The sequence below is a fragment of the Homo sapiens genome, chromosome 10, assembly GCF_000001405.40.
Source record: "Homo sapiens chromosome 10, GRCh38.p14 Primary Assembly".
Classification (NCBI taxonomy): domain Eukaryota; kingdom Metazoa; phylum Chordata; class Mammalia; order Primates; family Hominidae; genus Homo; species Homo sapiens.
Window position 1 is genome coordinate 45,395,609 of NC_000010.11, and position 15,518 is coordinate 45,411,126.

General features: G+C 39.0%; 1 protein-coding gene across 8 annotated transcripts in view; it reads left to right on the forward strand.

Annotated features, from left to right (window-relative positions):
- ALOX5 (arachidonate 5-lipoxygenase) overlaps positions 1 to 15,518 on the forward strand; it is a 71,902-nt gene that overhangs the window by 21,393 nt on the left and 34,991 nt on the right. For 7 of the 8 annotated variants that reach the window (NM_001320862.2, NM_000698.5, NM_001256154.3 and 4 more), the window contains exon 3: positions 247 to 328. The exons of the other annotated variant lie outside the window; for it this stretch is intronic. Coding sequence is in view for 6 of the 7 variants with exons in the window: in NM_000698.5 (NP_000689.1) it covers positions 247 to 328 (82 nt within the window). In the remaining variant the exon portion in view is untranslated. The remainder of the gene's footprint in view (positions 1 to 246; positions 329 to 15,518) is intronic. 8 annotated transcript variants of the gene reach the window in all.

The following is a 15,518-nucleotide window of genomic DNA, read 5'->3' on the forward strand; positions in this document are numbered from 1 at the left end:
AAAAAAAAAAAGAAAATTCACTAATTAGGTGTGTGACCTTGGGTAAAGTTCAAGAGCAAAGCTACACAACTTCCCTAAGCCTCAGTTTCTTCATCATTAATTGGGGAAGTGCTCTGAGGCTCAAATGAGGTCATGCACATAAAGCACTCGGCATGGGCAGGGCATCTGAGGGAAGCCTGAACACTTGGCATTGGGCATTGTTATTGTTCTTCCTCAGGCTCCTCTCATGTTGTTCTTTCTTTACAGCAAAGTTGGCCCGAGATGACCAAATTCACATTCTCAAGCAACACCGACGTAAAGAACTGGAAACACGGCAAAAACAATATCGGTGAGTTATGACATCAGATCGAGTGGCCACGGGGCCATGGTTTCTTCTATCTCAAGAGCATGGTATGAAATAAACCCTTTCCACAGTGTATGGCCTGTCACTGCTGGAAAGTCACCAAGGCACCAGCTCCCAGTGTGGGTGCACAATCCCCAAACTTCACCTTACCTACAACTCCAGACAAGAGATGGAGAGGAGAGTAATGAAAATAACTTTGGATCAACCATATTGGCATGTAGGAAGAATGGGCAGAAAAGCTTGAGTGTACCTTAATGTTCTCCATTGTAGGGGTTGCCTCTTACTTCTTATGTCTTCTTATAACAATTCAATTATAAAAGTGATACATGATCAGCAATAAAATTGACAACTCTTCAGCCAACTGACCAGAGGATTCAAACCATTAAAATGAGCAATAAGAGAAAATCAATACAGAAATTAAAATGAATAAAAAAGGAAAAATGAGACTCATAAAATGAGGGAAAATCAATACAGAAATTAAAATTAATAAAAAAGAATACTATGAACAATTGCATGCCAACAAACTAGTTAAATGAAATGCGCAAATTCCTAGAAAGACGCAAACTGCCAAAACTGACTCATGAAGAAATAGTTAATCTGAATAAAACAATCACAACCAAAGAGATTGAATTACTAATTCTAAAATTTCCCACAAATAGAAGCCCAGACCCAGATAGCTTCACTGGCTAATTCTATCAAACATTTAAAGAATTAATACTGATCTTGCATAAACTCTTTTAAGAAATAGAAGGAACACTTCCCAATTCATTGTCTCATACCCATATTATACCAAAACTAAAGGCATCACAAGAAAACTATAAACCAATATCCCTTAGCAATATAGATATAAACATTTTCAACGAAATACTAGCAAACCTAACCCAGAAGTATATAAAAGGCATTAAACAATATGAACATGTGGGATTTAGCCCAGGAATGCAAAGTTGGTTTAACATCCAAAAATCAATTAATTGAATTCACCATATCAATAGAGTAAATAACAAAACAAAACAAAGTACATAATCATTTCAATAGACATACAAAAAAGGCATTTGACAAAATCCAACACCCATTCATGATAAAACACTCAAAAAATAGGAATTGAAGAAAATGTCCTCAACCTGATAAAGGTTTGAAAATTCACAATTAGGCTGGGCGTGGTGGTTCACACCTGTAATCCCAGCACTTTGGGAGGCCAAGGCGGGTGGATCACGATGTCAAGAGATTGAGACCATCCTGGCCAACATGGTGAAACCCCGTCTATACTAAAATACAAAAAGTAGCTGTGTGTGGTGGCATGCGCCTGTAGTCCCAGCTACTCAGGAGGCTGAGGCAGGAGAATCACTTGAACCCAGAAGGCGGAGGTTGCAGTGAGCTGAGATCATGCCACTGCACTCCAGCATGGTGACAAGCAAGACTCCGTCCCCCCACATACACAAAAAAAGAAAATTCACAGTTAACATTATACTTAATGATGAAAGGCTGAATCCAGAAACAGGATAAAGATGTTCACTTTTGCTACTTCTATTCAACATTGTACTGGAGGGTCTAGCCAGCTCAGTTAGGGAATAAAAAGATAAGTAAAGGCACCCACAATGGAGTACAGTAAGTAAAACTACCACAATTTACAAATAACATGATCTTATATATAGAAAATCTGAAGGCATTCACCAAAAGAAATTATTAGAACTAATAAACCACCAAGATTGCAAGATACAAGATAATCAATTGTTTTTCTATACATTAACAACCAACTATGTGAAATAAAAGTAAGAAAAAGTTCAATTTACAATAGCATCAAAAACAGTAAACATTTATGAATAAATTTAACAAAGTAGTCTGAGACTTGTACAATGAAACTACAAAACATTGTTTAACATTATTAAAGAAGATCTAAATAGGTTGAAAGACATTTCATGTTCATGAATCAGAGGACTTAATTTTGTTAAAATGGCAATACCCCACAAATTAATGTACACGTTCAACACAACCCTTATCAAAATTCTAGCTGATTTCTTTGCAGAAATTGACAAGCTGTCAATTCTGCAAATTCATATGGAAATGGAAGGGACCCAGAATAGCCAAAACAATCTTGATAAAAAGAAAACAAAGATGGAGGACTTGCACTTCTCAATATCAAAATTACTACACAGCTATAGTATTCAAGACAATGTGATATCGGCATAAGGATAGATATATAGATCAATGAAATAGACTTGAGAGTCCAGAAATAAGCCCTTACACTTATGGCCAATTAATTTTTGACAGAAGCAGCAAGACAGTTTAACAGAGAAAGAATAGTCTTTTCAACAAATGGTCCTAGCAAAACTGGATAGCCACATGCAAAAGAATGAAGTTGGATCCTTAGCTCACACCATATACATAAATTAACACAAAATGAGTCAAATACCTACCTAAATGTAAGAGCTAAAACTATAAAACTCTTTTAAGAAAACACAGGAGTAAACCTTCATGACTTTGGATTTGACAAAGGACTCTTGATATGACACCAAAAGCATCAGCAACAAAAGAAAAATAGATAAAGTGATAAAGTGATGTCATCAAATTTACAAACCTTTATGTTTCAAAGGACACCATCAAGAAAGTGAAAAGATGAACCACAGAATGGAAGAAATATTTACAAATTGTATATCTGATAAGGGCCTTCCATCCATAATTTATAAAGAACTCTTACAACTCAATAAAGACAAATAGTCCAATTAAAAAATGAAAAAAATGAGTGAGGATCTGAATAGATATTTCTCCAAGGACCCATTAGTCATCTAGGAAATGCAAATCAACACCACAATGAGATACCACTTGATACTAGGATGGCTAGAATAAAAAAATCCGACAAGAACAAGTGTTGACAAGGATGTGGAGAAATCAGAACCCTCATACACTGCTGGTGGGAATGTAAAATGGCACAGCTGCTTGGGAAACAGTCTGCTAGCTCCTGACTGTTCAACAGAGAGTTACAATATGACAGCATTTCCACTCTTAAGCATATTCCCAACAGAAATGGAAACATATGCCCACACAAAAACTTGTACATGCATGATTATAGCAGCATGACCTGTAACTATCAAAAAGTGTACACAACCCAAACGTCCATTAATGGATGAATGGATAAAATATAGTATATCTATATAATTTGACCATGAAAGAAGAATGAAATACTGACACTTGTTACAACATGGATGAATCTCAAAAACATTATGCTAAGTGAAAGAAACCAGTCACAAAAGATCATATATTGTATGATTCCTTTTATATGAAATTTCTGGAAAAGAAAAATCTGTACAGATATAAAGTAGATTACTGGTTGCCTAGGGGCAGGGAATGAGGAAGTGGTCATGGGAGTGACAGCTAAAGGATACAGTGTTCCTTTTGCCGGGGATGAAAATGTTCTAAAACTGATGGTTGTCCATTGTGTAAAAATTAATACTAAACATCCTTGAATTGAACACTTTAAATGGATAAATTTTACAGTATGTGCATTATATTTCAATAACGCTGCTAGATAAATTTAAAAATTAATTCAAAATGGATGATAGATCTAAAAGTAAGGGCTAACAACATAACACTCTTGGAAGAAAACATACAAGTAAGTCTTCATAATCTTGGGTTCGGCAAAGTCTCTTAGATATGGCACCAAGAGCACAGGCAGCAAAAGAAAGTAGACAAGTTAGATGTCATTAAAATGTAAAAGATCTATGCTTCAAAGGACATCATCAATAAAGTGAAAAGACAATCCACAGAATGGAGAAAATATCTAAATCATATGTCTGATAAGGGACTTGTATCCAGAATATATAAAGAACTCTGACAACTCAATTTTAAAATATTCTGTACAAAAAACCCCGTTTAAAAATTAGCAAAGGATTTAATTAAATAGTTCTCCAGAGAAAATTTGTGAATCTCCAATAAGCACGTGAAAATATGCTCAACATTATTAATCATCAGGAAATTTCAAATCAAAACCACAAGATACAATTCTAACCACTAAAATGGTTAGAATAAAAAAGACAGATAGTAACAAGTGCTGCCAAGGATGTGGAGAAACTGGAACCCTGATGCTGCTACCGGAATGTAAGATGATGCAGCCACTTCAGAAAACAGTTTAGTGGTTCCTCAAAATCTGAAACCCAGCTACAATATGACCCAGCAATTCTACTCCTAGGCCTCTACCCAAGAATATTGAAACCACATGTCTATACAAAACTTGTACACACATATTTATAGCACCATTGTTCACAATAGTCAAAAAGTAGAAACAACCTAAATTCCATTAACTGAGGAATGAATAAACAAAATATAGTTTATCCATACAATGGGATATTTTTTGGCATCAAAAAGGAATGAATGCCAAGCGCGGAGGCTCACACCTGTAATCCTAGCACTTTGGGAGGTTGAGACGGGCAGATCACTTGAGGTCAGGAGTTTGAGACCAACCTGGCCAACATGGTGAAACCCCATGTCTACAAAAATACAAAAATTAGCCGGGCATGTTGGTGCACGCCTGTAATCCCAGCTGCTTGGGAGGCTAAGGCAGGAGAATCACTTGAACCCGGGAGGCGGAGGTTGCAGTGAGCCTAGATCCCGCCACTGCACTCCAGCCTGGGTGACAGAGCAAGACTCCATTTCAAAAAAAGAAAAGAAAAGAAAAGAAATGAACTACAGATAGATGCCAAACACTGAATGAACTTCAAAAATATGCTAAATGGAAAACTCACTTACGGAAGACCCCATATTGTGTGATTCTATCTGTATGAAATGTCCAGAATAGGCAAACCCACAGAGTCAGGTTAGTAGGTGAGTAGTTGCCTAGCACTAGGAGTTGGGGAGGGGAAACAAGGAGTGAATGTTAATGGGTTCGAGGTGTCCTCTGGGGATGAGATTATTTCAGAATTGGGTTATAATGATGGTTACACATACAACTCTGCAAATATATTAAAATCTTTTGATAGCATATTTTTAAGGGGTGAATTTAATGGTATGTAAATGTATCTCAGTAAAGCTTTTTGGAAGATAATAACACATTACAGAGTGCTCCTCTGGAAATGGGTGGCTGATGGGCTGTATCCAGCCTCTACAAGTGTTTGATGGATCATTATTGACTTATGAGTAAACAGAGATATTCTTCAGGCTTCCCCAGTCCACACTTGTCTGTTGTCTATATCAAGGTTTTCTTTCATTTCATTTCCTGCTTTGGCCCCTGGAAACATTTGAGTCTGTGCCTCCTTCCAAGGGAAGAAAGTGGAAGGAATCATTCTACATGGACAGTGAAGTTACCTGGGCTGTGGAGGGGCCTTTGGGAGCCAATATTGTGATACTTTTCTACATATCCCTCAATAGTTGAACTTCTTACAAGGAATATGTAGTATATCTGGGTTGTTTTTTTAACTCAAAAAAGTAAAAGAAGGAAAATAATATAGAGCCAGAAAAATACCTATTTTCTGTATGAATTATGAATTTTATGAACTTTTTCATAAAAATTCATGTTTAATTGTTTTCACTTTGTCTTATTCACTTTTTAAAATTTGGGATTGTGCTATATATACCACTTTGCATCCTCCTTGCTGCCCTTTAGCAGTGTAGCAAAAATCATTTTCCCATATTTTCAAAATCTCATCATAAACATTATTCTAGTTTCTATGTACTATTCCATTGGATGGATGCCTCATCATTCACTTAAACACCCAGCTTCCCTGGACATTTAGGAGGTTTCTAATTTTTGTATTCTTATAAGCAAAGTGAAAACCCTTGTATGTGAAATTTGTATACATTATTAAGTATTTTCCTAGGACAGATGCCCAGATATGAAATTACCAAATAGTAAAAGTTATTAGTATACATTGACAAATTTCTCCTCAAAAATCTTTAACCATTTGGGAGGCTGAGGTGGGTGGATCACCAGGTCAGGAGATCGAGACCATCCTGGCTAACACGGTGAAACCCCGTCTCTACTAAAAAATACAAAAAATTAGCCGGGCGTGGTGGCGGGCGCCTGTAGTCCCAGCTGCTCGGGAGGCTGAGGCAAGAGAATGGCGTGAACCTGGGAGGCGGAGCTTGCAGTGAGCCGAGATTGCACCACTGCACTCCAGCCTGGGCGACAGAGCGAGACTCCGTCTCAAAAAAAAAAAAAAAAAAAATCTTTAACCAGTTTTCACGAGCCATGTATGGGTCCCTGTTTCATCAAACACTTGCCATAACTGAGCAATATCTTCATTTTTCTTAATTTTTCTAAGTTGCAACAGCATCCCTCAACCCTGTAGCTCCTTCTTCCCCTATGCCCAGCCACCCACTGCTGTCAAGGGGTGAGAAATCCCACACCAAGAACACAATTGCCCCACCTCAAAACTGTCTTAGCTTCATCCCCCTTTTCATCAAAAACATTCCTTGAAACAGAATAAAGAAACAACAAACAGCCACACGTATGTGGGTACTGGGTCTGCTACGGAGGGCTCGGCTGATGGGTGGCACTGGGCCACTGGACATGCATCTCGAGGACAGGGGCCAGCCAGCACGGAGGGCTGAAGGAGAAGGAGAAGAAATCAGACTCCACCTCTTGCCATTCAGGAGACTCAGCTTGGGGTTGATTAGACTTAAAAGTTAAAGGCAAAACTGTAAGACATTTAGACTACAGGTGATTATTCTTCCAGGTCTCAAGCTAAAAGGATTTTTCAAACAAGACTCAGAACATATTAAACACAAAGGAAAAGATTGGTAAGTTTGCCTCCCTCAAGATAAGGACACTCTGTTCATTGAAAGACACCAGGAGAGAGTGAAGGCAAGTCATGGAGTGATTGACGAGAATTATTCCTAGTATGTGAAGGACCTACAAATCTTTAAGAAGGGGAGTGTCATTCACTAGAAAATGGGCAAGAAGTTTGAGTACTTACTGTACAAAATATAAGCAGCAAGTATACAAAAGGTGTTCAACTTCATTAGGACTCGGGGAAATCAGAAGATCACAGTGAACTGCTGCTACTACCACACATATGCCCCCAGATGGGCAACACTTCAACAACTGACAACACCTGAGTATTAAAGAAGATCCAGAGGGCTGGGAACACTCATATACCACCGGCAGGAGGACAAGTTGGTAAGACCTCCGTGGAAAACAATTTAGCAATATGTCATAAAACTGAAGCTACATTATAATCTATGACCCAGAAATCCTATAGTGGGATCCAAATTTGTGTGCATGTGCGCCTGGATACTCACAACAGCATTACTCATGATGGCCAAAAAATGGCAACAACTCAATGTCCAACAAACAGTAGAACAGACAAATTGTCAAGGAAAATTCTACACTGCAAGGAAAATCAACAAACTGCTGCTAACATGGACAAACCTCACTGACGCAGTGTTGAAGGAAAGAAGCCAGGAGCGTGTCTGGCCAATTCATAACTTTGGAATGAAATTGTTTAGGGAGGTGTGTCATAGCGGAACCTTAAACAATAACAAGAAAATGATTATCATAAAGCCGAGGATGGTCATTACCGGGGATGGAAGGAGGGTTGATTGGGAAAGGTGGGGGTGAGGGTACGGACAATGTTCTGATTTTTTACCTGGATGGTGTTCGTACAGGTGTTTTGTACATTTTTCTGCATGTGTGAGTGTGTGTGTGCATATATACATATCCATACATATTTTATATATTCTATTTCCCAATTGAAAAATCAAAAATAAAACTTACATGCCATTAGCATCAAGTGTGGGAGAGTAACCTGCTGTGCTGTGGGTCATGTTAAGGGTTTATAAATGTGTGATTTGTTTTAGAGTATTTGTGCACAAGCCTCTCAGCTCAGGCACCATATGATGTGTTTCCAGACTTCCATACCTGGTGCAGTGCACACGTTGTGCTTGAGCTCTGCCTCCCATCCCAAAGGGCTGTTGTTTCTATGCTTCTTCCTTGGCTTCCCTCCCTGTTTCAGACACCTATGGCAAAGCCCCTGCAGCCAGTTCTCAGAGCACTTCTGGCCTGTGAATCTGGGTTAAGATAAAATGCCCATAAAATTCATTTAATTTGTTATAAGCCACTAACACTTTAGTATGAATTAGTGGGGCTCTAATTAGACTTTGCTATCTACTCATCTAAGATAACACAAACTAGCCCAATTATCTGGGAGCTACTTAACATTATCATAATCTTGCAGCAGGGGGCTTCTGGTGAGATCGTTTCCCCCTTTCTTAGATTTAATCATTTTTTTCTTCCTCCTTCCACTCATCTGTCCTTTTCAGAAACCCTCCTTTGCTTCCGTTCAGGAAACACTGAACTTTGCACTGTCTGCACAATCTTGGAGTTCCTCTTTCTCAGAAGATTTCTCAGGCTTCCAGATCAGAGTTTGGAAGTAAAGCAATGACTAAGAATAGTCCACACTATGTCAGAAAGCTGGCGCTTCTTGCAGGCCCTCCTTACTCACTCAGCCACGCAGGGAGAAGGAGAAGCAGACCCAGGTCATAGCCCACAGCTTGTGCTCTCCCACTGTGACCACATCTGTCTGTGTTACATGCACACTCACACACAGCAGTAAATGGCAAAGTGTAGGTGTTTGTTAATCGATATAATTTAATCTAATCATTATGTGACCTGCACTTTTCACTCATCACTAAGTATTGAAGAGGATCTGGTTGACACAGATAGATGTGGTTCATGCAGTTAACTTCTTCATGGCATATCAGTATCTGAATAACCCATGCGCTCGTCCGCTCTCCTGCTGATGGGCAGGCGGGCTGTCTTTAATTTCTAGCTGTTGCAAACCAAGCGACAGTGAGCTTTCTCACACATCTCTCTGTGCTCTCATGGAAGAGTTACTGTAGGGAATATTCCAAGAAGTAGAGTTGCAGGGTTGCAGACCACGTGTTTTTAAGCTTTCTAGATATTGCTGATTGTTTTCCAAAGGCATTCTGCCAGTAGACACCCCAGTAACTGTTTCTGAGATTCACTGTTTCCCTGCATCATCAACACTTCGCATCTTCAGATGTTTTCATTCTTGCGTGTGAAATAGTATCTCATATATTTTCCCCTTCTTAAACTGCTACTATTTCTTGCCTTCTGGGAATGCACCATAATTTACTTAGCCATTCCCCTATTCACTGACGTTCAGTTCATTTCCCATTTGTAGATGTGTTTGTTTGTTTTGGGTATTGCAGTACAAACAATGCTGCCAGAACCAACCTTGTACAAACATCTTGATGTACTGGTGCTTTAATTAATGGCAGATCCATTTCCAGAACTCAGATTGCTGGAACAAATCAGCATTTTTTCATCTTAAGAAATACCGACAAAAATCCTTTCACAAAATTGTATCGTAATTTGCGGTCCTACCAGCTGTGTATGAAAAGATACTTTTGCCCATCCATACATTTGTCAGTACCCGATGACCTTGTTTGACAGTCTAAAAATCCCTAAGACCTTGTGGTTGTTTTAGTCTGCACTCCCCTGACCACTAATAAGCATCACTGCATTGCCTATTTATAAGCTTTTTTTCCCTATTGTTCTTTCAATTATTAATCTAAAGGAGCTCTTTCTATATCAGGATAGTATCCGTTTGTTACATATGTATAGCATTTATTATTTGTCTTCTGTTGCTTTTGCCACAGGAGATTTTAGTTCTTTATTTTATTAACTATGTATTGTTTACATCTATAACTTTTGGGTTTCCTCCTTTGCTTAAGAAAACCCTTTCCATCCCAGTGTTACACAAATACTTCCCCCGTAATTTTGTCTAATACTTTTATAATTTCCCCTTTGAGTTTAGAGCTTTCATTCATCTACCTTTTTTTTTTTTTTTGAGACAGAGTCTTGCTCTGTTTCCTAGGCTGGAGTGCAGTGGCATGATCATGGTTCACTGCTGCCTCAAACTAACCCAGGCTCAATCCATCTTCCCACGTCAGCCTCCCAAGTAGCTGGGGCTACAGGCGTGCGCCACCATGCCCCACTCCTGCCACGTGTTTTCATACATACCTGGGTGGAACTCTCCCGGTAGCATTCGTTCCTGACTTGGATGACAGGGATGATGTCTTTCCTCCTGACTTGGATGACAGGGATGATGATACCCACGGTACAAGCTGGCATAGGATGGCAGTCATGAGCTCTGGATTCGAGTGTCTGGGCTCAACTCACACTTACTGGCACTTTCTCCAGTCCTGTGAAAGTTGTTTAATCTGTCTGTGCCTCACTTCCCTCATCTGTAAAATGAGGGAAATAACAGTGCCTTCCTTTTAGGGGTTTGAGATAATAGGTTAAACCATGAAAACACAGAGAATAGTAGTAGGCACATAGAAAGCACTGGATAAGTGTTGGCGAGTTTTGTATTATGTATACATAGTCTCTGGGTCTGTTTCCGCACTTTATGTGTTAGCCTATTTTTCTACTCGAGACCCCAGCACCAGCTTTTGGTTATCATAACTTTCTAATAAATGTTAATGTCTGTTACATATCTCACTGTTCTTTCTTAAGTTTTTCATAATGAGAATTACTTTGAACTTCACATAACTGTGTTATGTGTTGGCATTTTACTGAGATTCAGTCTTTCCATCCAGGAACACAGCGTGTCTTTCCACCTCTCTAGATCCTGTGTCAACGTACTTCCATAGAATTTCTAGTTTTCTTCATGCAGGTCCTTCACCTTTCTAGCTACTCTACATTTAGCATTTGCTGTTCTGAGTAGGATATTTTTCTGTTTGCAAAAATATTGCTGGGATAAATGTAAATTACTTGTTTCTTACATTTACTGTGTGTTGGTCCCTTACTGAATTCTTTCATTGGTTCTAATCACTTGTTTTTGTTTGTTTGTTGTTAGTGAGTCTGGTTAGTTAATGTGCTCATATTATCTAAATGTTAATAATTTTGTCTCTTACTTTCCATTATCTACACCACTGATATTCTTTTCTTATTCCATGTCTGGAATTCCCAAAACAAGTAGTGGTAGTAGTGATGAACATCCCTCTCATATTTTTGTTTCTTTGTTTACTATTATATTTGCTGTAGTTTTATAATGCATATTCTTTGCTGTATTTAGGAGTTTATTGATTCATTCTAATTTAATTTTTGTTCAGCTGAACTTGTTCAATTAATTTCCTCAGAAGGTCCATGTGTAGTGTAAGATCTGAGTCTGTGCTTGTCGTCCTGTCCCCCTACCCATCCCCTCAAACAAATTCCCCTGCCCTCATTGATGACAATATGAGAGGCTTAGATGACGATCTAAAAAAAGTGTGTATACACTTCAGTCTTCCCATTTTCAGAATGACAGAGGAGAAATCTAATGATAGTTTGTTTCTTTTCCTAGAGTTTCTATCTCCCTCCCTCCCCCACTTTCTTCCTCTCTCGTTCACTCTCTGCATCTCTTTCCTTCTCTCTGTCTCTGTTTCTCCTGTCTCTTGGACATTTTAAAATGTATTCAGTATATACCTAGGTGTATCTTTTTCCTTTTTTTTTTTCCCCCCCACCTAGGACTTGTCATTGAGAAAAATGACGAGACAAGTCTCAATCATTTTAGGAAATTTATTTGCGAAAGTTAAGGACGCATGCCCGGGAGACAGCACTATGCCTTTCTCTGAAGGTGATTTTGAGGGCTCCAAATTTAAAGGGAAAAGGGCGGGATATTGAGAAGTACACAATTTTCATGTAAGAGCAGGGCAGGGAAAAATAGTTATTCATGCCTTTCTCTGGCTCAGTGAATCTGCATTTTTTTTAACATAAGATGACATAAACAAATGAGGCAGAGGAAAAATGCAGGGAGTCTGCATTTTACATAAGAGAACATAGATAAAGTAAGGCAGGGGAACAATCAGATATGCATTTGTATCTGGTGGGTGACTGCACTTGTAAAGATAAGCTATCAATTTGCATTGCCATGGTGAAATTTTAACGGTTCACTAGGAATTTCCTTGTGAGCAAAATATGGTGGAGACATGTAGCTTTTCATCATAGCCATCTTATTTAGGAACCAAAAGGGGGAGGCAGGTTTGCATGACACAGTTCCCAGCTTGACATTTCCCTTTGGCTAAATGAGTTTGGGGTCCTAAAATTTAATTTCCTTTCACAGACTTAAGATATTGAAGTATTTTTCAGCTTAAAGGAGTTCTTCTTTTATTTCTTTGATTTTTTTCACTTCTCCATATATTACTCTCTCTCCTTTTGGAGCTTTTACTCCTTGCATATTACATCTGTATCTGGCTTTCATGTCTGTTAATGAAAAGAGTCACACTCTGTGAAATATTTGAAAAGACTTATTCTGAGCCAAATATGAGTGACCAGTGGCCCATGATGCAGCCCCAGGAGATCCTGAGAACATGCACCCAAGGTGGTTGGGGTACAGCTTGCTTTTGTGCATTTTAGGGAGACATAAGACATCAGTCAATACATGTAAGATGGACAGTGGTTTGGTTTTGGAAAGGTGGGACAACTTGGGGGAGGGGAGCTTCCAGGTCATAGGCAGATTCAAAGAGTTTCTGATTGGCAACTGCTTAAAAGAATTATTATCTAAAAACTTGGAATGTCTAGGTTAAGATAAGGGGTTGTGGAAACAAAGTTTTTTATCATGCAGATGAAGCCTCCAGGTAGCAGGCTTCAGGTAGAATCAATTGTAAATGTTTCTTATCAATCTTAAAGAGTCTGTTCTAATGGGCTTAACATCTCTGTGTTGATGTGAATGCTGATCAGTTGTGCCTGAATTCCAAGAGGAGGAGAGTACAATGAGGCACGTTTAGCCACCCATTCCTATCATGGCCTGAACTAATTTTTCAGGTTAACTTTGGAATGCCCTTGGCCAAGGGGAGGGTCCATCAGTCAGTTCAGGGGCTTAGAATTTTATTTTTGGTTTATGTCTCTCATAGTTTCATTTATGGCTTCCATTTCTTTGTAGTTTCACCCTGTATTTGGGTTACATGTTCTTCTATTTTGCACAAAGCACTTCCTGGCACATAGTAGGTGCTCCATAATTAGTTGTCGAATGAACACCTTCTCTCTTCTAGGTGTTAATGAGTTTAGCTTAAACTTTTCTCCTTACATATTTTAAATTCAGCCTAAAAGTTTCTCTGTACATAGTGAACTGTAACCTAACTGGATGTGTAAACAGACTGTCACCTACTCTCATAGCAAGTAACCAAGTCTCAGCCAATCACAGCGGCCAGACTTCAGCCACTCACAGTGGCCAGCTGTTCAAACTGGGCTCAAGTAAGGCAAATGCTGAGCCATCACCAATCTGGCTGTTTCTGTACCTCACTTCCATTTTCTGTACATCACGTTCCTTTTTCTGCCCATAAATCCTATCCAACTATGAGACAGCATCAAAGTCACTCGGAGCCTGCTCTGGTTTAGGGGCTGCCCTATTCTTGAATTGTTCTTTGCTCAATTAAACTGCTAAATTTAATTTGTCTAAAGCTTTTCTTTTAATACAAGAGACCAAACATCTCACAGTGATTATTCTCTTTGTCTGTTTCTCTATTGAAGTCTTCATTCAGAAATCATGTTTGTGGTTACAGAAAGTCTTTTTACACTCCAATTATACTAACTGCATCCCCTTAGGATCTCTCTGTCTGTCTGTCTCTCTCTCTCTCTCTCTCTCTCTGTCTCTCTGTCTCTCTTGCTTTCTCTCTCTCTCTTTCTCTCTCTCTCTCTCTCTGTCTCTCTGTCTCTCTTGCTTTCTCTCTCTCTCTTTCTCTCTCTCTCTCATTTTTTTTCCAATAAATTAAATGCCTTTCTACTTCTTTGTTCCTTCTGCCTGGGTGTTCCACTTGGTCTTCCTCAATGGAGTGGGATTCCATCTCCACCAGTTAATGTCTGTGGCCATGCAGGCCTTCGGCTCCTGTGCAGGTCAGCCTGTCAGGGTCTCTTAAGCAGCAGTGACCTGCAGTGGAAGGGACATAAACATTTGGTTTCAGGGGGGCAGTAGTGAACTAGCAAGCAAGCTGTCCTGTCTCCATGTGCTGTGAGGCCATCATCTTCTAACCACACAAGTGGGGCATTTCTGCCCATTGGTGCTGCCACCCTCCATAGACCAGGGCAGGGCATGGGGCAAGAAGGTCTTTTTGGTGCTGAAGAAGTATTCCACATCCGTCCAAGTGGACTATTCACTTAAGAAAACATTAATGCCATTTGCTGGCACAGATGCCCTTGCATGGCTCATTGTTTACATACTGAAAAACATCTAGCTCCACTGAGCTTTTAAAATTAACTAGAGCCCTTGAACTGTCCAGGCAAAGAGAAAATCATCAGTAATATTTAAATTGATATGACTAATGATAGCTAATTAATTGATCATTACTACCAGTGAGGCTACTGAATGGCTCAATTTTAGATATATATTGGAGATGCCTTGAGTCATTTTCCAAAACAAACAAACAAAAAATGTGTAGACTTGTCCACATTTTTATCCTTGTTAATATACTATCATTGGCATTAATACAAACAGCAAAAATGGAAGGTTTTCTTAAAATCTGAGGACGTAGAATATTCTAAATAAACCAACAGTGAGAAATGTAAGGTGCCACATAACAGAAAACACTTGACAAAATGCCTTTGCTGTCAGAAGGATCATACCCGGTCCCTGTTCACTTCTTGTGATCCTAAGGAGAGGCTACTGGGCCAAGAGGACACTGTGACAGTTGGGATTTGGGGAAAGTCAAAGCACAAGATCATATTAAAATAACTCAGGACTTTTTTAAGACCCAAAATCTCGATATTTTACTTTCCTCTCAAAAGAAAATTTTAAAAGGAAGGAGAATTAGGAATATAAATGAAAAAGCTAAAACCCTAAAATGTAAAATCTGGTTTTTAAACAAACACAAAATCATTCTCCCTCCCCAAAGAAACTAACAGGATTTCATTTTGTTTTTGTTACCAGAAAGGGGTCCTGATCCAGACCCCAAGAGAGAGTTCTTGGACCTCCACAGGAAAGAATTCAGGGTGAATCCATAAAGTGAAAGCAAGTTTATTAGGAAAGTAAAGCAATAAAGAAAGGCTACTCCATAGGCAAGGCAGTAGCATGGGCTACTCGACTGAGCATACTTACAGTCACTTCGTGATCATGTGCTAAACAATGAGTGGATTATTCATGAGTTTTCCAGGAGAGGGGTGGGCAATTCCAGGAACTGAAGGTTCCTCCCTTTTTTAGACCATATAGGGTAACTTCCTGACATTACTATGGCATTTGTAAACTGT